Raw genomic sequence first — 23534 nt, forward strand, 5'->3', positions numbered from 1 at the left:
GTGTGTGAATGTGTAGCTGGGATGGAATGAAGTCCCTGCCTGTGGGGAGCCAGCTCCAGGTTCACTCAAAGGAGACAAGAGACTCTACTGGCTTGTGTGTGTGCTCTGTCATGTCTTATGGCAACATGCACTGACCCCAGGCAGCTGGGGCGAGAGGATATGGGTGTTGGCATCATAAACGAAAAGGGTAAAGCTATGGTTCAGAAACTGACACGTGATGTGGAATACACTGGCCCATGACCTTCGCATGGTTGGTTGGCCCCTTCTGCCTGGCGGTGCCCTCCATGTGAGCTGAACCCTCTTTGCAGCCCCCATTCTGTTCCTGGTGGGACATGGAGAAGCTGTGCTGTCTCTGCACAGGGCAAGGGTTCTTTCAGGCAGGGGTGAAAGAGATCCCATCTTGGGGCTGACTCAGGAGGTGACAGGGCTGACATTTGATGAGCATTTGCAGCATGCTTTTTATGTTTTTGTTTTAGACCTCACACCATTCCTCTGAGAGCCGTCTTGTTTATATAAAGCTATAGTTGGGAGCCACGTGTGGTGGCGGTGCCTTTAATCCTAGCCTCTTGGGAGGCCAAGGCAGGAGGATCACTTGAGCCTAGGAATTTGATACCAGCCTGGACATCATAGTGAGACACCCTCTCTGAACAAACAAACACACACACACAAACACTGCAGCTGTGGGAGCCAGGAAGTCTTTCTGGTGTCACAGCTCATGCTCAGCCCTTCGGCCTCCTCCATGTCACACGGCTGAGCTGTCCCTGCACCTCCTTGTCTCCTTGGAGAGTTACTGTGGTTCTCTGTCAGTTTGGTTTGAAAAGTGAAAACAGGCTGGGCACGGCGGCTCATGCCTATAATCCCAGCACTTTGGGAGGCCAAGGCGGGGGGATCACCTGAGGCCAGGAGTTCGAGACCAGCCTGGCCAACATGGTGAAACCCCGTCTCTGCTAAAAATACAAGGATGTGGTGGTGCATGTCTGTAATCCCAGCTACTCGGGAGGCTGAGGCAGAAGAATCGCGTGAACCCAGGAGGCAGAGGTTGCAGTGAACCGAGATCGCACCACTGCACTCCAGCCTGGGTGACAGAGCAAGATCCTGTCTCAAAAAAAAGAAAAAAAAGCGCGAAAACAAATGCTTGGCAAATAAATGTCGTAGAAAGACACAATATAGATGAGCATGTTTGATGACTAAAGCTTTTGTTTGTCTTAGAGGAAATGTGGAGCTTCATTGGTGCATGCTAAAGGAGGAAGAAGTAAAACTAGGGAAGTCAGGTGGGCAGGCAGTGATGCGATGTTTGCCTGGAAGGCACCCTGGGTCTTTCTGCCCTTAGTCCTCTGAATAGGGGGACTCTGCCTGCTGGACTCAGGAAAAAAGCATCGCATTTTCTTTGGGTTACTTTTTAGGGAATCCTGCTGATTCCTCTCCACACATACAGTGCACACACACACAGAATCTCCATCTGTTGTGCTGTAAGCCTATTTCTTGGTCTCTGACTCTGTGCACACCACCACGCCCAGCTAATTTTTTAAAGAAATTCGAAAGTAGCCTGCGCAACAAAATGAGATCCTGTTTCTACAAAAATTGTTTTAAAAAGGTAGTTGGGTGCAGTCCCAGCTACTCAGGAGGTTGAGGTGGGAGAATTGCTTGAGTCCAGGAGGTTGAGGCTGCAGTGAGCCATGATCGCAGTGCTGCACTCACGCGATCCTCCTGCCTCGGCCTGTGGACAGTGGGCCATGTTCTTTTTCTCTTTGCATCATCACCTCTGTTTGAGGACTACTGTTAAAGGGCTACTTGGTCTTTATTTTAGGTGATTCAAATTCCAGGACTTTTCTTGAGTGGTCCTGGCGTAGGTCCTTTCACCTTTTTTGTGGCTCCTCTTTGAACACCTCTGTTGTTGTGGCAGGAGGAGGTGGGCACTCCTCACCATGAGTAAGCTCCTACAATGTTTGTGAACCCTTACGGTTTCCTTTGTTGGATACAAGAAGCACAGGTGGGGGGATGTATTGGTTTAAGTTTACCTTTTTTTTTTTTTTCTTTTTTTGAGACAGAGTCTTGCTCTGTTGCCCAGGCTGGAGTGCAGTGGCGCCCTCTTGGCTCACTGCCAGCTCCATCTCCCAGGTTCAAGTGATTCTCATGACTCAGCCTCCCGAGTAGCTGGGAGTCAGGCGCCCGCCACCATGCCCAGCCAATTTTTTTATTTTTAGTAGAGACCAGATTTCTCCATGTTGGCCAGGCTGGTCTCGAACTCCTGACCTCAAGTGATCTGCCTGCCTTGGCTTCCCAAAGTGCTGGGATTACAGGCGTGAGGCACTGCGCCCAGCCAACTGTACTATTTTGATAAAATGTATACATGTGCTCCTTATTATGCATTTTGTGGTTTTCATCAGTATTTTGCTTTTTGAAAAATGTCAAGTGTTCTGATCTCTTTGGACATTTTGTATGAACCCTATTTCCCTTGCTATCCTTATTGATTGAGAATTGTGCATATTGATTTGGGTAATAATAACTAGCACTTGGTGTTTTTCTGAGCTTGGATGTGTAGATTCATGTCTTTCATCAAACTCGGGTAGTTTTCAGTCATTGTTTCTTCAGGTATTTTTGCTGCCCCTCTCCTCTCCTTGTGGGACTCTTGTTATGTTAATACACATGTTGGTACTCTTGGTGGTACCCTATGAGTCTCTTAGGTTTTGCACTCATTTCAGCTCTTGAGTCTTCTTGTTATGTTAATACACATGTTGGTACGCTTGATGGTGCCCTATGAGTTTCTTAGGTTCTGCCCTCATTTCAGCTCTTGAGTCCTCTTGTTATGTTAATACACATGTTGGTAAGCTTGATGGTGCCCTATGAGTCTCTTAGGTTCTGTGCTCATTTCAGCTGTTGAGTCCTCTTGTTGTGTTAATATACATGTTGGTAAGCTTGATGGTGCCCTATGAGTCTCTTAGGTTCTGCACTCATTTCAGCTGTTGAGTCCTCAGTTCCAGAATTTCTCTTTAGTTTCTCTTTTAATAATTTCTTTTTGAGACAGGGTCTTGCTCTGTCGCCCAGGCTGGAGTGCAGTGGTGGTATCACGGCTTACTGCAGCCTCAACCTCCCAGGCCCAAGCAGCTCTCCCGCCTCAGCCTCCTGAGTAGCTGAGACCACAGGCCTGCTGCACTGGAAAAAAAAATTGTAGAAACAGGATCTCACTTTATTGTCCAGACTGCTTTCAAATTCTTGGACTCAAGTGATCTTCCTGCCTTGGCCTGCCTTGGGATTATAGGAGTGAGCTGCTGTGCCCAGCCTGTTTTTATAATTTCTGTCTCTTTATCAACATTCCATGTTAGTTTAAATGTTGTTCTTTTGGTCTCCTTTAGTTCTTTGTCCACAGTTTTCTTGAGATCTGTGAGCATATTTTTGTCTAAGACTGAGCACAGTGGCTCACACTTGCTTCCCAGCACTTAACCTTTGCTTTAAAGCCTAAAAAGGAAGAAATCTTTGCATATGTGTTTCCCAAATAACAGATTTGAGGGCTGTGTTGGTGACATAGGTCTGTTTATACCCACTGTGTGGCTAAAGCAGGTCTCTGTTAAATTAGCATCTACAAAGCTTTTCTCCTGCCTTCCCTCAAACTTAGGAAGCTCCCTATGCAATCTTCAGGCTGGGGTCCTTCACTGCCCCCTCTCAAGGAGGCCTACCCCTTCCCCCAGAAGGTGCAGTCTGTCACCCCATGTCTTATAAAGTGTAATGGTCTGGTGTCCCAAAGCCACAGAGAAGCCCATTCTAACCTTCCTGCAACTTTCTGAAGGTTGGAGAGCATGTTTGTTTTACTGCTAGGAGGCTCAAGGTCCCTGTGAACCTGCATCAGGTAGTAAGCCCTGCATGTCGGAAATACAGACTGCCTAACTCTTATCTAAGGTGATGTTTTGAGAAAATTTTTAAATGTATAATACATTTTATAAATTTCGAAAAAATTTTAATAAACATTAAATTTTTATAAGTTTATATAAATGTTATAAATTTTGAAAAATGTACAGAGTTGCATTGGAGCACACGCTCTCAGTGTTCATCGAAGACGTACAAGCAGCGTCTTACGACGATGTTGCTGCAGCTGCCTTGGGGTCTTGTTAAAAGCACCATTCAGTAGATTAATTCCCACCTGTGGACTGTGTTTTCTGGCTTCCAAAAGAAACTGTCATGTTTTTCTCTCTGGATGACGAAAACTCTGCACGTACTTCCTATGACAAGTGCGATTGGCGCCCACTGCTCTTGGCAGTTGAGGTGAGGACACAGCGTTTCTGTGACGGTGAAGGGGACAGGGTTTGGAGGGAGATTCAGACATTAAACAAGGAAACGAAGGGAGCAATTTCAGAGAATGGATAAAGTCGTTAAGAAAATACAAAAGGGCGGTGAGATCCTCAGTGATGGGGCCAACCAGTGACTTGAATAAGACTTGGGGAAGACCTCCTGGGGCGACATTTACGCTGAGAGCTTCTACCGTGAAGGAGCCGAGCAGGATGGACTCCTGACCGCAGCATCTCAAAGAGGAACGAAGGCTCGCACGAGCTGGGACAGCGGAAAGAGCAGAAGAGTGGGCACAGAAAAGCGCCTGGGGGCCAGATCCTAGAGGGGCTTCAGGAACACAGTGAGGGGTTTGGAAATTATTCAACATAAAGTCAGATACTGGGGAATACACGGGGGTGCAGTGGAAAGGAAGAGCGAGGGAGAGTGAGGCCATTCGGGAGCCACCACAGTGTTCGGAGTGAGACCAGAGCTGTGAAGAAAGAGAAAAGGAAATACGCTGCATGTAGGATTCTGAACTCAACGACTTTGCTGTTCTATTCAGTGAAAGAGAGTGAGATAGTAAGGTCAGTGAGTGACATGTTGGAGCCTTCCACATAGTAATGGTCTACAAAGTTATGGATTGATGAGTTCACACAGGAGGGAGTGAGAGATGAGGAAGGTGAATGGGTGGAAAAGCTTGAACCGGGTTCCCAGGCTCACTGGCATGGGGAGGTGGAGAAAAGGGGAGGAAGCAGCCGACATGGAAACCCGCAGAGGCTCCTTCAGAAGGGATATTTTATAGGAGAGGAGTCCGATTCTGAGAGGGGGAAGGGGTGGAGGACCAGAGTTTCCTCACAGGCTCTGGAGCACTGAGGTGGATGGTAAATTCCAGGAGAGCAGCTCCAGCTGAGGTCTAGGGACAGGGCATTCCCTCCCTGGTAGAGCCGTTGGGGCTCAGTGCCGAGGCTGGCTCAGGCTCTTGTGGGGGGCCCTGCTGTCTGTCCAGCCCTGGCTGTGGCCTGGCCTGACCCTGCTGCCCCCTGCAGGCCTGTGTACCTCAGTTCCCAGGTGATCAAGGGGCCCTGGGAGAGGTTGGGTCTGAGCACGTCCTGACATGGCCCCAGTGTCCAGTTCCCCGCCTGTTTTTGTTGGCTTGTTTAATCTTGGTAGGCTTTTAAGCTTTCAGGTTTTCAGGAAAATGCAAAGCATGAGACATCTTTGACTTTGTACGTGGACCGATTGTTCTTTTTTTGTGTTAATGGTGTTTTTTTCCTTGTGTGAACGTGTGTGTTTCGTGTTGCACTCCGCCCTGCTCTCCCTCCCTCCCTCCCTGTAGAACGTGGCATTTTGGCTGAACGTTAACACTGGTGGGGGCAGACGGCAGTGGGCCCCCGTTAAGACTGTTTAGAAAGGGCGTTGTCGGCATCTTCTCTTACATGTGAATTCAAGGATCCTTTATTTTTTTTCAGCTTTATTGATATGTAATTCGTCTACCATATAATTCACCCATTTAAAATATATAGTTCCATGGTTTTTAGAATATTCTATTATTACTTAGAAAATTGTGGCAAAATATGTATAACAAATTTGCTCTTTTTATTATTAAGCATGTTAATCCAGTGGCATTAATTACACTCTCACTTTTGTACAACCATCACCATTATCTGGTTCCAAAACTTCTCATCACCCCAGATTAAGAAGTCACTCGCCCCTGATGCTCCTTCCCTTCAACCCTTTGTAACTCTAGTCTACTTTCTGCTTGAAAAAGGACTTTGCCTGTTTTAGAGATCTTGTACAAGTGGAATTGGACAATATTTGGCCTTTCATGTCTGGCTTATTTTATTTAGCATCATGTTTTCAAGGTTAATCTGTGTTGTAGCATGTATCAGAATTTTCTTTCTTTTAAAGGCTGAATAATATTTCATTGTATGGACATACCATATATTTATTTATTTTATTTTTACTTTTATTTTTATTTTTTTTTGAGACAGAGTCTTGCTCTATCACCCAGGCTGGAGTGCAGTGGTGCGATCTCGGCTCACTGCAAGCTCCGCCTCCCAGGTTCACGCCATTCTCCTGCCTCAGCCTCCTGAGTAGCTGGGACTACAGGCGCCCGCCACCATGCCCGGCTAATTCGTTTTGTATTTTTAGTAGAGATGGAGTTTTATCATGTTAGCCAGGATGGTCTCGATCTCCTGACCTCATGATCCACCCACCTTGGCCTCTCAAAGTGCTGGGATTACAGGTGTGAGCCACCGCGCCCGACCCATATATTTATTTTTTAAAGATAGGATCTCACTGTATTGTCCAGGCTGGAGTGCAGTGGCTATTCACAGGCCCAATCATAGTACACCACAGCTTCCAACTCCTGGGCTTGAGCGACTCTCCCACCTCAGCCTCCTGAGTGGCTGTGATTGCAGGTGTGCACCACCGCCCCTGGCCATATTTTCTTGATCCATTCATTTGTCAGTGGACGCTTGGGTTATTCCCACCTTTTGGGTATTGTGAATAATGCTGCTGTGGACATGGATACAAGAACCTGTTTGACACCCCTTTTTTTAGTTCCTTTGGGTATATACCCTGAAGTGGAATTAGTGGGTCATGTGGTAATTCTATGTTCAGCTTTTTGAGAGCTTATCACTTTTTGTATGTAAAAATTACGAGTGTTTAGTTCTTAAGTCGGATCATGCATAAATGCAGAAACGTAGTTAAAAAATAAGTCTCTTTTTTTTTTCTTTTTGCTATAAAGCTCTAGGAATCGATTTTGCTTTTAGAGATAGACACAAAGGGCTTATCCTGGTTGCAATGGGTGAGCTATTGCAGATGACCTTTGGAGGAATTGTGTCGGAGTGTAGAATTTTCACAGTGTAGCTCGCCATGCATCAGGCACATGTAGCCTGTGCCACAACCATTGTGCTTGGGCGGGGTTCTCCATGCTGCCCTGTTGCAGGAGGATGCTCTGCCCCTGCTTCTCCCTATTTGTCATTTAAGATGATTCCTGGTGCTTTTTGGTGAGCGATCAAATGGTGTTCTCAGAATCTTTGGGCCCTTGACAACGGAGGGCTGTATTCTTGGGGGTGTGATGTGAGAGCTCCTTGTCTGCAGGGTGTGAGGCTTTGGGTCCTGAGTGTGGACCGTGGCATGTGATGTCTTGTCACGGCTCCCTGCACGGCTGTTTAGTTTCTGAAAGCTGGAAGTATAATATTTTTGTTCTTTGCCAAAACATACTGGTGTATATAAACAGAAGTGCCCAGGTGAGCGACTCAGCACTGCGCCTGTGTTTATGGTTCTGCGTCTGACCGTGTGCCTTTTAGGCTGGTGTAGTGGTTGTCTGAGGTGGGTGCCTGACAGGGCTGGGGGACCTGCTGGTGTCCTTGCTGCTGCTTTAGGGACAGCTTGAAGCAGTGTCCTCAGATACCCCTTGGAATTGTGACAAACTCTGTATCCCTCTTACAAGTTTTATAGAACTCTAACCAGTTGCAAATAACTATTTGCCATCCTGAGTATTGTCATTTTAAAATAAAACTATTGCGTCACTCATCTGAATAAATCTGGGAAATTGAGGTAGAATAATCTACCATTCTTCGTTAAAAAATTTACAGGGCTGGGCGCCATGTCTCACATCTGTACTCCCAGCACTTTGGGAGGCTGAGGTGGGAGGATCACTTGAGCCCCGGGAGGTTGAGGCTGCAGTGAGCTGTGATCGCGCCACTGCACTCCGGCCTGGGCCAGTGAGCGAGACCCTGTCTAAAAAACAATTTCATAGGCAAGTTTTTCTCTCACAGAAATTTTATTCTTCCTTTTTCTTCTTAAGCCCATATTTCCATTTACTTTTTTCCCAGAGCATTTTACCCTAATGTAATGTATTTCTGTGCCTAAGAATCTTTATTGATCTATCATTTATCTGCAACGAAAGAAAATAACATAAACATAAACTTCAACTTTTGCATTTTGTATGGCCATAAGATGCTAGTTATTTATTTATTTTTTCCACAGGTGTTCATGACCTTTTTTTTTTATTATTTTTTTAACTATACTTTTAAGTTTTAAGGTGCTAGTTACTTAGAAGTTTTTTTAGATTGGGTTTTAAAAAATTATGAGTACAGAGTTGACCAAAACAACATAAAATAGCATATTATTGAAATTTAGCTCTTAATAAGATAGCTGTTTAGTTTGAGTTATCTTTTGATGAGTCAGGCTTTTTTTGTTTTTATTTTTTGAAATGATTCTTGCTCTGTCACCCAGGCTGGAGTGAAGTGGTATGATCTTGGCTCACTGCAGCCTTGACCTCCTGGGCTCAAGCAATCCTCCTGCCTCAGCCTCTCAAGTTGGTGGGACTACAGGCAAACATCCCATTGCTCAGCTAATTTTTGTATTTTTTGTAGGGATGGGGTCTCCCTGTGTTGCCCAGACTGGTCTTGAACTCCTTGGCTCAAGCAGTCCTCTCACCTCAGCCTCCCAAAGTGCTGGGATTATGGGTGTGTGCCACCATGCCTGGCCGTGAGCCATGCTTTTAACCAGAATAAGGCAAGGTTCTGCAACAGTACAATTTTTGCTTTTTATTTATGTATTTTTTTTGAGAAAAGGTCTCACTCTGTCACCCAGGCTGGAGTGCAGTAGTGTGATCATGGCTCACTACAACCTCTGCCTCCCAGGCTCAGGCCATCCTCCCGCCTCAGCCTCCCAAGTAGCTGGGACCGCAGGTATGTGCCACCACACCTGGCTGACTATTTTTATTAGAGACGGTGTTTTTCCATGTTGCCCAGGCTGGTCTCAAACTCCTGACCTCAAGCAATCCATCCGCTTTGGCCTCTCAATGTGCTGGGATGACAGGTGTGAGCCACTACGCCCGGCCCCTATTTTTACTTTCAGTTTTAAGTGCTAAGAAGTCTTATTCATTCAAGTCTTATTCAAGTAGCTAGGAATGGCAGAAATTTTGCTTTAGCAATGCTGGTGTTTCAACTTTTTCCAAGCTCACGCCTGACCTCTGTGCTCTGTCACTGAGCAGCTTCAGTAGGGTGGCCTCAGTCCTGTGAAGTGATGCGTTGACAGCCACCTGCATGGGGAAGCATTTCCCAGTCTCTGGAGCAGTTCCCATCGTAGTGTCCACTGCATGGTTTCCAGTGTGTTGGGTGAGAGGCTGCCTTTCTTGAAAAGTGAGAGAAAGGGCTGTTGTGAGAGGGGACATGGGGATGGAGAAACCCTTTCTCAAGCAGAGCCTTAGGGGCTGAGGCTCCGGAAGTCTACGCTCCTAAAGCACTCTGAAGCCTGAGGACCCCATGGATGGCCATTGAGTAGCCCCAGGGGTGCTTCGCACATGCCGGTACTTGACCACTGCTTTAAACCCATGTGCACACATGCACGCTCACACACATGCACGATGCAGAAGTGCATACACACGTGTACATGTGCACACTGACACATGCACGTTGACACGTGTACACCCAATCGAATGTGCACAACTACCCCCACAGATAGCACACACCCACACAATCGAATGTGCATACACCCACAGATACACACACGTGCACACCCGTACAATCGAATGCACACATCCGCAGATATGTACACGTGGACACCCACACGATTGAATGTGCCCCCCCACAGATATGCACCTTTGCACACCCACACAATTGAATGCACACACACCCCCCCACAGGCACACGTGCACACCCACACAATCTAATGCACACACACCCCCATAGATATGAGCACGTGGACACCCACACGATTGAATGTGCATACACTCACAGATACGCACACATGCACACCCAATCGAACGCACACACACCTGCAGATATGTACACGTGGACACGCACGATTCAATATGCATACACCCACAGATACGCACATGTGCACATCCACACAATCGAATGCACACCCCCCCGCAGATATGCACACGTGCACACCCACACAGTTGAATGTGCATACACCCACAGACACACATGCACACCCGTACAATCGAATGCACACACCCGCAGATATGCACACGTGGACACCCACACGATTGAATGCGCCCCCCACAGATATGCACATGTGCACACCCACACAATTGAATGCACACACACCCCCCCACAGGCACACGTGCACACCCACACAATCTAATGCACACACACACCCATAGATATGCGCACGTGGACACCCACACGATTGAATGTGCACTCACAGATACATGCACACCCAATCGAATGCACACACACCCGCAGATATGTACACGTGGACACGCACACGATTGAATATGCATACACCCACAGATACACACACGTGCACATCCACACAATCGAATGCACCCCCCCCGCAGATATGCACACGTGCACACCGGCACAATGGAATGTGCCCCCCCCGATTGCACACGTGCACACCCACACAATTGAATGCACACACACCCGCAGGTACGCACACATGCACACCCACACAATCGAATGCGCACACACCTGCAGATATGTACACATGCACACCCACAGAATCGAGTGTGCACACACCCATACATAATGCGCATGCACTCACATGATTGAATGTGCACACACCCAGAGATGCACACACACACATCTAATCAGATGTGCACCCCCACACAGATATGCACATGTGCACACCCACAGGATCGAATGTGCACGCCTAATCAGATGTGTACACCCCTCCCACATATGTACACATGCACACTAACACAAATGTGTACACACCCGCAGGTATGTACACATGCACACCTACACAGTCGAGTGTGCATGCCCCCCACGGATATGCACACGTGCATACCCACACAATCCCATATACCCACCCCCACAATCACGTGTACACACCCCCGCAGATATGCACACACGCACACCCACAGGATCGAATGCGCACACACCCACAGATAGCACACACGCACACCCACACAATTGAATGCGCACCCCCCACAGATATGCACACGTGCACACCCACACAATAGAATGTGCACACACCCGCAGAGATGCACAAGCGCATACCCACACCCGCAGACGTGCACATGCACACATCCACACGATCAAATGTGCACGTGCATCTGCAGACATGCACAAGCAGACACCTACACGCACTCGCAGACATGCACACCCACATGGGCGAATGTGCACACCCCCCCCACACAGATAGCACACGTGTACACCCACACAATTGAATGTGCATACACGCACCCGTTCACAGGTTAATCGCTGCCACAGCTATCAGCTCTTTTTCATTGACTGTTACGGCAAAATATTCTAAAGGATAACATAGATTTATGTTTATTTGCATTTTATGTTTCCTTATGGTTCATATGAGTTTATTGGAAAATTAGCAACATACACATCATTTTGGGGAATGGAAAGTGAGGCAGAGTAAGCCAGAACATTCACTGTAACATTATAAGCAAGTAGAATAAATTGATAATACCTTCACCAGTAATGCACTTTCCCTAGTGGAAATAAATTATTTGTATAAATAGCCTCTTGATGTTTGTGTGTTATTTAGTTATACAAATCACATTTTTCTTTTTTACATATGGCACTTTAATGTTAGTACTGAAAATGTTTTTTCTGACATTTTTTCAGTAATTGTCATTTACATCAAATATGCAGCTAGAGCTAATAGAAAAACAGTTAAAACAATTTGTTGTAATGGTGAGATATTTATAAGGAAACATTTATAAAAGATCTTCTGTAAGACAGCTTAGACTTGAAAATACATATCAGTCTTAGAGTCATTCAGGTGTTTTTACAACCAAAAGTAGAAGCACCTTTTAATATTCATGCTTAATATTTATAAAAACTGAATTGGAGGGTTTTTTGTTTGTTTGTTTGTTTGTTTTTTTGAGAAGCAGCAGCTGCATTTGTAAAAATGTGAAAGTGCCAGTTCAGAGGTGTTGTAGCTTGCCACCTTGGAAGGCGTGTGTGTGGCCGTAGCTCTGTGAACACACGTGTGAACCCGGCGTTAGGACACCCGGGCCCTCCTTCGTAGTGTGAACACTCTGGCCGTGTCCTGCAGCTTCGCCTTCTTAGCTCCTTGCTGGGATTTTCCAGCATCCCTTAGACTTGTCCTCTTTTGTCCTTTGGGTCTGAGGTCACACTGGGCCTCTTGGCTCTCCATGGAGCTCAGTGTGGGTGTGTCTTGCCGGCAGGCAGGTTCCGGGGCCGCAGCATCCCCATCGCCCACCCGGATGTTCCTGGGGCTGTAGGCCGCCAGCTGGCACAGGGCCACGGCTGCCGTCTGCTTCTGCTCCTCGCTGCTGTCCACCGCGCATGCGTCTGGAGCCTCCTCGCCGGGGCCTGTGGGTGGGGCCCCGTCACCGTCGAGGCTGCCTGGCTTGGTCTCAGGGTGGCTGGGCCCATCCTCAGAACCTTCTGTCCCAGTCTTCTGTGGAACAGCAGCAGCAGGTTCTGCAGCTCGTGGTCGACCGGGGAAGGCAGGCCTCGGAGCCTGGGTGTTACAGGGGTCCTTCACCGAGAGATTGAGTGGAAGGTCCTGCAGCTCTGAGAAGCTGGCGGTTTCCGCCTGGGGGCTGCCTTGGTACGTGGGTTCGTGGGTGGCTGCCAGGTTTATCTCTGATTTCTTGGAGAGGTTGAGGGGGCCCATCCCGGAGCTGTCGTCCGGACTGGAAGGCGCGGCCTCCGAGACGAGAGAGGCGCTTCCGGTCGGAGCAGGAGGGTCTCCGTTCACAACATTGAGGCTAGAAGAAGCCAAGAAAAAGCTTAGTAGGAGCTTGCTTAGAAAAGCAACTGCGTGAAGCAGTGTGAGCAAGTATAAGCCTGGCTCATGGAACCCAACCAGAAACATTCCCTTGGAGGTTTTGAAAATGACATTTTCTTACCTTACTGGAGACTCTGCTGTGGTCTCAGCAGCCTGGGCAGGTAGGCATTCTGTGCTTTTCTTAACAGGCCTGAAGGCTGTGAGGCTTTGCTCTGGCGGGTAGAGTCTTCCCAGTGCGCTGGAGGCTGCCTTGTTGGAGAGGTCGTACAGGCCTTCGCAGGTCTGGCTCGTCTGCATGAAGTCGGTGGGGCTCGGCCTCCCTGGGGAGCCCGTGGCTGCACTCCCTGCGCGGGGGCTCATTTTGGACCCTTCCGTGTCTCTCTGCCCAGCCTTGGAGGAGTCTTTAGCCTCAGGAATTGGACTTTCGAACTCGACGTGTTTTCTGTTGGGGTCCGAAGGGTTTAACCTGGAAGGACTCGAGGCTGGATAGACCAGGGTGGCTTCTTCAAGCAGGTGAGAGCTCTGATCTCGGGTGAGGCCAGTGACAGGTGGGAGTCTGAGACCATAGGAGGAAAATGCAGACTCTGGCCTGTAAAATCCGTAAGGAATCGGCAGGTTAGAGGGATATTGCTGGAAAAACCTGTAGTGATCGTATGTGGCTGGAGATGGAGCCAGGTGCTTAGGGATCGGCCCCGGGTGAGGCAGGAAGTGTCTCGGGTCTTGGGTTCCGTAGACTGACAGCAGGGGTGCGTCACACTCAGGCGAGCTCCCAGCCAGCAGGTAAGGCGAGTAGATGGTGGCCAGCCCGTGCTCTGTGTAAAAGTGAGGCGGGTACTCTGGGATTGTGGGGTGCATGTAAGGGGAAATGGCCCCAAGCCCCTTTGTAGATGAGATTTTATGTGGAAACTCTGGTGGAAGGAAAGGTGAGCCGGCTTTCCAGGGGTAGCCAGGAGTGTGGAAGGCCGACTTGGTGTGGAAAGACACGGCCTTGGCAGTGGGGTTGTGTAAAGCCAGTGTCTCGGGCGCCTCGGCGTTGTCTGGCCCCTTGAGTCTGTGCTCGCCGACTGGAACAAATGCAGAAGGCCGAGCTGCGCCTTCCAGAGCAGGCTGGGCACCGAGGGCGGCTTCCGGAGCTGGGCTCTTGCAGGGTGATGCCCTGTGGAGGGCTGGCTTCTGTCCCAGGCACCTGTGGGTTCCCCGGGCTTGCAGCTCCAGGTTTTCCTTGATGTCTTCCCTGGCAGAGCTGTGCTGAAGCTTCGAGTCGAAGGCAGAGAGTCCATTTGCGACAGACTTGGAAGAGGCTGGCTTCGCCGTGGCATCGGGCTGGTTGGTTTGCTTGGGGTCTAGTGAGTTAGATTTAGGGCACTTGGGAACTCGATCCTGCTCTGATACTAAAGTAATCGAGTTTTTACAAAGACCATACTTCATGTGATTAAAAAGATGTGACTTCTCATTGCAAGTAAAGGGACATTGGAAACATTTATACTTGAAGGGCTTTCCTGGAGGCCTGGGGATGTAATGTGGCTTTTTTGGCTTCCGCTCTTTGAGGAGACTCATTTTCCTCCTTATGCCTTGGACTCTGGCTGTCCAGGTGGCGTGATCACTGTCGACGCCGCGTGCACTTCGTGGTTTCTAAAGAGGCACCTCCCGCTTTGCTTTCTTTCCCGATCACTTCTATCAGAAGCCAGCTCTGCGTGCTGAGGGTCTGGCGAGAGCCTCCGTCATCTGGCGGCTGGGAGCTGTAATAAAGAGCAGTCTTGGTGTCAGGACAGCGAGTGAGGGGTCGGCGAGAAGCCGGCCTCGGCTCGCCACAGTGCCACAGGATCCCTGAAGCAGAACCCCTGAAGGGCTGAAACTGCCTGCTCCTGAGGGGAGCAGCTGCCGGTCACAGAAGCAGCCCTGCCCTACCCTTGGTAACCTGGCTGCTGACTCCCCACCGTGTTTTCTGTTTTCTGAGTCTGATCTGAAAGAGTCACCTCGGGGCCTAGAGGTGGAGTGTGGTGTGTGGTGCGTTGAGTGTCTGTTCTGAGAATGCCTGTAAGCCTTTGAGTTTTGGGAACTTTCATCCTGTGACCTGGACCTTTCCTCGAAAGCGCCCTGCCGGGGGCTGAGGACACCGAGCCCCCTCCCAGGGTCTGGACAGAGTCCTGTCCCAGGGCTGCCCGACTCTGCTTGGGGGTTACACGCTTGAAGCAGTGGGTGTGTGATCGGCCACACTCTCACGTGAAATACGAAGGGGTTTGTGGCTGTTTCCCCTTAACATGTACCCACAGTCACAGAGTGCCCCTCACTTTTACACAGAGCGTGGGCTGGCCACCGTCTACTTGCTCCTACCTGCTGGCTGGGAGCTCTCCCAAGTGCTGTGCGCCCCTGCCGTCGGCCTGTAGAACCCAAGACCATGGATGCTGCTGCCTCCCCTGGGGCCGATCCCTAAGCACTCGTGGCAGTTTCTGCCCACTTTAGCCACGTCGTTGGTGTATTCTAGTGTGCTTGTTTAAAAATGAAGAACATTCGAACACAAGACTCTACCCTACTGCTTCTAAAGTCAGCTTTATCATTAAGTAGCATTTATGTTGTCTCAGATATGAATACAAATGCTATATTTATGTTGACTTAAATGGTTGAAATACTGTTGGTGAATTTGTACATCCTGTGAGTGACAGCAGCATTGTGAGACATGCTTTCACGGTCACCCGGTTCCTGCTGGCCAGGAGGCATGGCCAGCAGCGCCTGCCCGTCCAGATGCACCACCAAATGGAAGAACCAAAGCTTTGCCACACTCCTGCCCGAGAGGAGACCAGAGTGAGTAGTATCCGCTTTAGAGATGGTTGGGTCATGGGAGGAAGCTGTCCTGGCCCTTAACCTTTAGGGAGTGGGTTCAGCCCTCTGGCCACACCCACTCAGGTCCTGGGACCCACCAGAGGCTGTGTGTGTGATGTCAGAGCTGGCCTGCTCTTTTGGATTCTTCCAGAGGGTCTCTGTGTCCCCCTTACCAGCCTCAGGTTTCCTTCAGAGGCTGTGCCGCACGCCCAAGGCTGAGAACAAAGGCTGTTTTTCTTTTTTTGAGACAGAGTTTCTCCCTTGTTGCCCAGTCTGGAGTGCCATGGCGCAATCTCAGCTCACTGCAACCTCCGCCTCCTGGGTTCAAGCGATTCTCCTGCCTCAGCCTCCCGAGTAGCTGGAATTACAGGCGCCCACCACCATGCCCAGCTAATTTTTTTTGTATTTTTAGTAGAGACGGGGTTTTGCCATGTGGGCCAGGCTGGTCTCGAGCTCCTGACCTCAGGTGATCCACCTGCCTTAGCCTCCCAAAGTGCTGGGATTAGAGGCGTGAGCCACCGCACCCGTCCCAGAACAAAGGCTTTGAGAGTCTGGGACTGTCCACCTGGCAGCTGGGCCTGGAGCGACTCAAGCAGCAACTGTGCCTGGGAGACAGGGTGAGTGGGAGATGGGGTGGAGGTGCAATGGATCAAGGCTAAGCACTTTAATTCGTATTAAAAATGTAAAAAAGAAAAGGTCTTTAGGGTCTAAATATTTTCAAACAGCTTAAAAATAAAGTTAAATGACCCAAATGCCTATCAGTGATAGACTGAATAAAGAAAATGCGGCACATATACACCATGGAATACTGTGCAGCCATAAAAAGGAACGCGATCATGTCCTTCGCAGGGAGAAATGGATGGAGCTGGAAGCCAGCATCCTCAGCAAACTAACGCAGGAAGAGAAAACCAAACGTGCATGGTCTCACCCATAAGTGGGAGCTGAACAGTGAAAACACATGGACACAGGGAGGGGAACATCACACACCAGGGCCTGTTTAGGGGTGGGGGTCGGGGGGAGGGAGAGCATTAAGACAAATAGCTAATGCATGCAGGGCTTAAAACCTAGATGATCGGTTGATGGGTACAGTAAACCACCATGGCACACATTTACCTGTGTAACCTACACGTTCTGCACTTGTGTCCTGGAACTTAAAGTATAATAAAAAAAAAATACATTAAAGTAAAGTTAAATGGAGGGCTGGGGGCCGTGGCTCATGCCTGTAATCCCAGCACTTTGGGAGGCCGAGGTGGGAGGATCCCTTGAGCCCAGGAGATTGAGGCTGCAGGGAGCTGTCATCCCACCACCGCACTGCAGCCTGGTGGGCAACAGAATGAGACCCTGCCTCAAAAAAAAGCTAAATGGAAATGACTTAAGAAAACTGTTTCAACTGCAGTATTTTTTTTAAGGAATGGGCAGATGTGCCCATTCTTGAGTCTGTGAGGTTTTATGTGTAGACATCAGGGTGGCTAAAAGTCAAGTGAAAAGCCGCCCCTTGAAAATAGAGCAACGTGTGTGGGAGCCTAGGAGGCAGCTGTCCCTGAAGCAAGGCGCCACCCCTCCTCCCTGCACCCGTGTCCTTCCTCCCACACGCCAGGGGCCAGGGGTGGTGGCTGGGCTTTCATATGGCTGCCCCGAACTCTGGGGAAGTGCTCTGATTTTGTTCTCAGCAAACTGGTTTCTCTACTGATTTATTCATATTTCTTTCTTTCTTTCTTTTTTGAGACGGAGTTTTGGTCTTGTTGCCCAGGCTGGAGGGCAGTGGTGCGATCTCGGTTCACTGCAACCTCTGCCTCCTGGGTTCAAGAGATTCTCCTGCCTCAGCCTCCCTAGTAGCTGGGATTACAGGTGCCTACCACCACGCCCAGCTAATTTTTTTGTAATTTTAGTAGAGATGGGGTTTCACTATGTTGGCCCGGCTGGTCTTGAACTCCTGACCTCAGGCGATCTGCCCGCCTCAGCCTCCCAAAGTGCTGGGATTACAGGCATGAGCCACCGTGCCTGGCTCATTTATTTATAATTCTTAAAAACACAACCACCCTTCCCCCTACAAACTGCCTCTATTAACATACTTTAAGTTCTTTAAGACATTTATTTACTAAGAAGTGGTTTGGGTAGAAAAGGGGCTCTGCTGACCTGCCACCTTCGCTGTGATGAGTTTCTGTGTAGCAGGGACAGCGAGGCACGGTTTGGATGAGGACAAGATGTTTGTTACCCTACAACCAGGGAGGGTGTCGGGTGACACCCTGGGCTCAGACCCCGCGCTCAGCACCCGTCTCCCACCGTGGGCTGCCACAGAAGCTACAAGGCACCGGGTCAAGGCCAAGCAAATGAAACACGTAATGATAGCTCTGTCTTTCTAATTTCCCCCTATTAGAAGAAAGAACGTGAAATAATTCTTTATGGGCTCAGTCCCTACCGTGTGGGGCAGACCTGCTCTGGGTGATGAAAGCAGTTTCCCTGCCTCCCTTCAGGAAGTAGAGAAGCCGGGTGCCTGGTTCCAGCCAAACGCTGGGCCAGCCAGCTCAGTCAGTGGGGCCTGTGCCGGCATGCCTCGCCGCGCTCCCTGGTTCTGAAGGCGTGAGAACCTCTGCAAGTCAGGTTCCCATGATTGTATAGGATGTGTTACGGCAGGGATCTGAAAGCTGATGATTTCATCACTAGCTGGAAGCATCAGGATCGAAACGATGACAGTTGCAAAATGTTCATCAAGTGAGAGCTGCGTCCTCGCGAGACCGAAACGCCGCCTCTAGCACCTGAAACACAAGCCCTCAGAGGAGCAGATGATTCCCTCAGGATTTAAGAAAATTGAGGACTTCAGTTTTCGAAGCCGCATTATTTCACATTGCTGATACCTCTAGCGCCTGAAACACAAGCGCTCAGAGGAGCAAATGATTCCCTCAGGATTTAAGAAAATGAGGACTTCAGTTTTCGAAGCAGCATTATTTCACATTGCTGATACTTTTAGGCAAAAAAAAAAACAAAACAAAACAAAACCAAAAAACAAAAAAACAAAAAAACCCACAAAACCCGTGTTGGTTAGATTTTCTCAAAAGCTTTACAACAGGCAGGTTACGTGTAAGCTCTGCTGTTGCCCAAAATAGTAATTAGGGAAATAATTGCTTTTAAATGAATATGTCTGTTTTCTAGTCAGATTTGCCCTTTTGTTCTTTGATCAGTTAGTTCACGTAAGCGGGTGTGGCAGGGAGGAAGCCCCTGGTGGTGAGAGTGTTTGGAGCTCAATTGCTCGAAGGGAATTGGTGTCGATATGGAGTCTCGGGCAGTGGTTTTAGTAACCTTGGATAAACCGACCTCTCAGGCTTGCACAATTTGCTAATTAAAACAGGGAGCACAGCTGCTTCAGTTGTAAGCCGGGCGTAGGTCACCTGATCTGTAAAACTACAATAGTGTCAGAGAAGTAAGTGGGATAACATTGTTGCTTTGGTAAGCTTTCAAATGATGATGATGTCAGCCTGTGAGTTCTGTGTCCTGCTTAAGTGAGGTTTATAAGGATGAAGAAACCAAACCCGACGGCCAGTACCTCAGGCTGTCACAGCTGTCTGTGGGCACAGCGTTTGAAATAGTCTCTGTGTGGTCAGTTTCTACCAGCCCGACTTTGTACTCTGGCAGCTGCTGGTGTTAAATATTCCCAAAAGAGTATGTTGTTGCCCAAACAGTGTAACCCAGAAATCTAGCTGTTTACAGTAATTTGGATTTGTATTTAGAGGTGCAGTTTTTCTCTAGAGGGGATAAAGAAGTGCGGAGCGTCTTTCTCTCCTGGGGGAGGTGTGTTTCCATTTTAGTTAATAACATGCCCGGAGAGCTGTCTGTCTGTCTGTTAATAAAGCAGAGTCTCATTCATTATCTGCTTTCATTTGAGAACTGCAGTGCTAGCGTGTTTTACAGTGAAGACCTCGGTGTGATCCTGAAGGAGGGTTTCATCCTCCTCTCATTTCCCACTGGATCGGCAGGAAGCGTTAGCAGGGTGGACATGCCACAGAGCTTCCAGATCTGGATCAAAGGTGGCTGTTGCTGAAATACTTATGCAGAGTCTTCCCTGACTGCTGCTGGCTAATGTGTGCCCTCTTCTCCAACACACCTCCTCCGAGCCTGGCCTGGCACAAAGCCTTCTTTCTCCAAGTTATTTCAGATCAAGCAGCCAATGTAGACAGTGTCTACACTAAAGGGCGTAAGAACAGTGGGGTGCAGTGGCTTCAAACATGCTCAGGATCCAGCTGAGCTTTCACCAGGCTTTTCTTGCCATATTTACAGATGCCACTCTGTGCCTTTCTAAATATTTTAAATGTTGTGTGCTCAGCCGATGCACTTGGCTTCTGGAAAGTGCGCTGAGCTGAGAGCTCGCTTCTCTTCCTGCTCAACGTGCACTGGGCCGGGTGTTGGGGCGTAGCTGCCCACACAGACAGTGCTTTGAAGAGTGAGTGGTTTCGGTTGGCCATGGGGTTGTGTCTAAATTGCCAATATACTGTCTTTCCAAAGGTTCCTAAGTGTGGACAGTTAATGCAGCAGACAGTTGTTAGGGTAATAGTGAGAAGTTGGGATGCTTAACAAGCTTCTAAGGAGTTTGAACTTTGAAAAATAGACAAGAGAAAGAGTTCTTAAAAAAAAAAACTTTGATAGGACACAGCGGAAGTAATTACAGTTTAACTTTATGGGACGTTTCTGTGACAGGCTGGGTAACTATGCTTGTCATGCGTCCTAACCTGTGCCCTGAGATTGTGCTGTAATGTTCCTTTTGGTGGTGTCCAGCTGTCTGGCAAGGAGCCTGCTCGGCTGGAGCATTGTGAAGGGCATGCTGTAATTACAATATTGTGATGTGGCGTTGTTGCATAACTCAAGGACACACCATTGTCGCCTACCCACTGTGATGTCGCAAGAACGAGATTTGTGAGTTTTACTCCAATTGAGCTTTTCCAGTGATTGACTGCCACTCCCTCCCAGCCTTTCGGTTCTTTAAAATGAAAGATAAACCTCAGGACAACCAAGACCTGGGGAAAAGACAGTCTTTGGGAATGTAATTTGGAAGAATGGATCCAGAAAAACAACCAGGGGCTCTTAACTCTAGTTTCGGCAGGAGATCCCGAGTTACAGACCTGAGCTCGTAAACAAACGCTCACCACTTTACAGTCGCCGCCTCATCCTGAAACTCCGGTCAGAAATGCTGGAAGGCCTTTGCTAATGCGCAGTGAAAATTAGGGGCACAGATGTGGACGGACTGTGCTTGGTCAGTAATTGTTCTCCTCCAAATCAAGTTTATGAGAAATTTCATATAAGGAAAAAAACCCTTTTGTATCTGTGTCTATATGTACAGAAGACCTTAACAACCAAACAGAAACTTAACCCCTTTGGTTTGGTTTTGTTTTCGAAAGCTTATGCCCAATTTTAAACTTCATGTAAGCTTATGTACTTATTTTAAACTTTAAAACTATTAAAAGTTAAACTAGATAGTAAATTCGGCACTGTCTAATGTGCATACACCACAAACATATAACCCTAAATTCAGCTGTGTCTAATGTGTATACACCACACATATATATAACCCTAAATTCAGCCTGATGTACTTATACCACACATATATAACCCTAAATTCAGCCTAATGTACATATACCACACACACATATATATAACCCTAAATTCAGCCTAATGTACATACACCACACATATATATAACCCTAAATTCAGCCCTAATGTACATACACCACACATATATAACCCTAAATTCAGCCTAATGTACATACACCACACATATATATAACCCTAAATTCAGCCCTAATGTACATACACCACACATATAACCCTAAATTCACCCTAATGTACATACACCACACATATATATATGACCCTTACCTCTTGTTAGCATTTATTGTAGTTTGTTTTTGAGGTTAGGAGCAGTTAAGCAATAATATGAATTTGTGTTGGTTTAACTTTTATGAATTTTAGGGCAGAACAAGGAGTTAATTTCCAGATAAGCTTGTTCATGTTCTTAGAATAAAGTGTCAGCCTCATTAGAAGTTTTGTAATCGTGGTCTGCATCCCAGCCATGCACCTGCTGGGTCCTGAGTAATCCTCGGAGCCCAGAGCAAGGCAGAGCAGACACGGAGCAAACGCTGCGTTCAGCTGGGTATTTTAGATACGTCTGAGAAGAGTTTTAAAATAAAACTTGAATTTGAAAAGAAATAGTGAGTACTTACCAGAGGTGGGCAGTGCTGGGATGTGGCCGGTCTTGGTGCCGGTGGCTGGCGGTGCTCAGGAAGCAGTACCTGTTCTCACGCTTGCTGGGTGAAACTGGAGCCTGCTGTTCCAGTGGGAGGGATTTAAGTGTAGGAGTTGAGCCCTCGGGGCGTAGAGATGCACCTGATATTCCTCCTGCCCGCAGCTACGATTCATGTGTTTGCACCCACCGAGCTGCTGCGGGCAGCCTCCCCAGCACTGGACCCAGCAAGCAAGTTATCTCGCCGACTCCCAGCGCTGTCTCCAGACTCAACTGTCTGTGAGTGCGGCGTCGGTGCTGCCTGGACGGCCATATGTCAGAGGGCTTTCGATGTGTCCGCAGTTAGAATAGAGATTACTATATTCATCAGAATCACACCCGATGAATATTTGGCGTCATGATAAAGACATGTGAGACTTTCCTTTAGAACTTGAGCATGTGTACGCAGGAGGCAAACACTTGGATTGATTCTCAAGCGCGCATACCCTGGGAGGCACAGTATTCATGGCGTCCTTGCCATGAGGTCCAGTGAGGCCTTTGAGGATCTGTGGACCTTCCACCCTCTACCCTGCTCCTGAGAGTCTCTGTCCCTGGTCCTCCTCAGGAGCTGAGCCGGCAGGGAGGGAGCTTATCCCAGAGCCTGGCTGCAGGGACCTGCCGGAGCTTGCCCGACACCAGGCACCGCAAGAGCTGCGGAGCAGGGTGTGTGGGTGCGGGGGAGGGGGCCAGCTGTGCACTCCCGCAAACCACCCTCCCCCCACTTTAAATTGCAGAGGCACTTAACTTGGGGGCCAGTTTTTACCTCCACACCCCCCCACCAAAACTGCTTGCTTGCTTAATCGGAGGCCGCACCCCAGTTGTAGCGAAGGCTGGCATGTGGTGTCGGTTTGAGGACTGGGAAAGGAGGTGGGATGAGCTGGTGTCAGGCCCTTGGATGAGCCTGAGGCTGCAGGGCAGAGGCTGCAGGGCTGTGGCATAGGGACGAGCTGGCCAGGACAGACAAACTGGTTTTTTTTTTTTTTTTTTTTTTTTTTTTTGAGACAGAGTTTCACTGTTGCTGCCCAGGCTGGAGTGCAATGGCATGATCTTGGCTCACTGCGTTTCTCCTGCCTCAGCCTCCCGAGTAGCTGGGACTACAGGCGCCTGCCACCACGCCCGGCTAATTTTTTGTATTTTTAGTAGAGATGGGGTTTCACCGTGTTAGCCAGGATGGTCTTGATCTCCTGACCTTGTGATCCACCCACGTCGGCCTCCCAAAGTGCTTGGATTACAGGTGTGAGCCACTGCACCCGGTCTGTTTTTTTGTTTTTGTTATTTTTTTCCTTAAGACTTAAGATTTTACATGGCTTTGCGTTTACTTTTATATTTAATTCCTTTTTTTTTTCTTTTGAGACAGGGTCTTGCCCTGTCACCCAAGCTGGAGTGCAGTGGTGCGATCACGGTTCACTGTAGCCTCAACCTCCTGGACTCGAGTGATCCTCCCGCCTCAGTCTCCCCAGTAGCTGGGACTACAGGCACGGTCACTATGCCTGGAGAATTTTTT

General features: G+C 48.5%; 2 protein-coding genes across 19 annotated transcripts in view, besides 2 other annotated features; one reads left to right on the forward strand and one right to left on the reverse strand.

Moving 5' to 3' along the window:
- Nucleotides 1-23534, forward strand: part of TBCD (tubulin folding cofactor D) — a 193850-nt gene that overhangs the window by 65891 nt on the left and 104425 nt on the right. The gene's annotated exons all lie outside the window — the stretch shown is intronic.
- Nucleotides 10798-11644: an enhancer, noted in NCBI's record as "H3K4me1 hESC enhancer chr17:80786629-80787475 (GRCh37/hg19 assembly coordinates)". NCBI's record gives its function as "activates a minimal SCP1, AML or CMV promoter by ChIP-STARR-seq in naive H9 embryonic stem cells {active_cell/tissue: H9 hESC(naive)}" and the evidence as "EXISTENCE:reporter gene assay evidence [ECO:0000049][PMID:30033119]".
- On the reverse strand, nt 11479-22067 carry ZNF750 (zinc finger protein 750). Its single transcript, NM_024702.3, has 3 exons — nt 21972-22067; nt 13064-14681; nt 11479-12922 (listed from the first exon to the last, which is right to left on the reverse strand). The coding sequence occupies exons 2-3, from the start codon at nt 14497-14499 to the stop codon at nt 12187-12189; spliced, it is 2172 nt and encodes a 723-aa protein (NP_078978.2). The 5' UTR covers nt 14500-14681; nt 21972-22067; the 3' UTR covers nt 11479-12186.
- Nucleotides 19598-20099: an enhancer, noted in NCBI's record as "H3K4me1 hESC enhancer chr17:80795429-80795930 (GRCh37/hg19 assembly coordinates)". NCBI's record gives its function as "activates a minimal SCP1, AML or CMV promoter by ChIP-STARR-seq in naive H9 embryonic stem cells {active_cell/tissue: H9 hESC(naive)}" and the evidence as "EXISTENCE:reporter gene assay evidence [ECO:0000049][PMID:30033119]".

Source organism: Homo sapiens, chromosome 17, assembly GCF_000001405.40.
Source record: "Homo sapiens chromosome 17, GRCh38.p14 Primary Assembly".
Classification (NCBI taxonomy): domain Eukaryota; kingdom Metazoa; phylum Chordata; class Mammalia; order Primates; family Hominidae; genus Homo; species Homo sapiens.

Bases quoted from the DNA above. Each gene is read 5' to 3' on its own strand.
- ZNF750 (NM_024702.3), bottom strand. From the start codon at position 14,499: ATGAGTCTCCTCAAAGAGCGGAAGCCAAAAAAGCCACATTACATCCCC. The intron at 12,923-13,063 runs GTAAGAAAATGT...GGCTTCTTCTAG, and splicing joins ACAGCAGAGTCTCCAGTAAG to CCTCAATGTTGTGAACGGAG.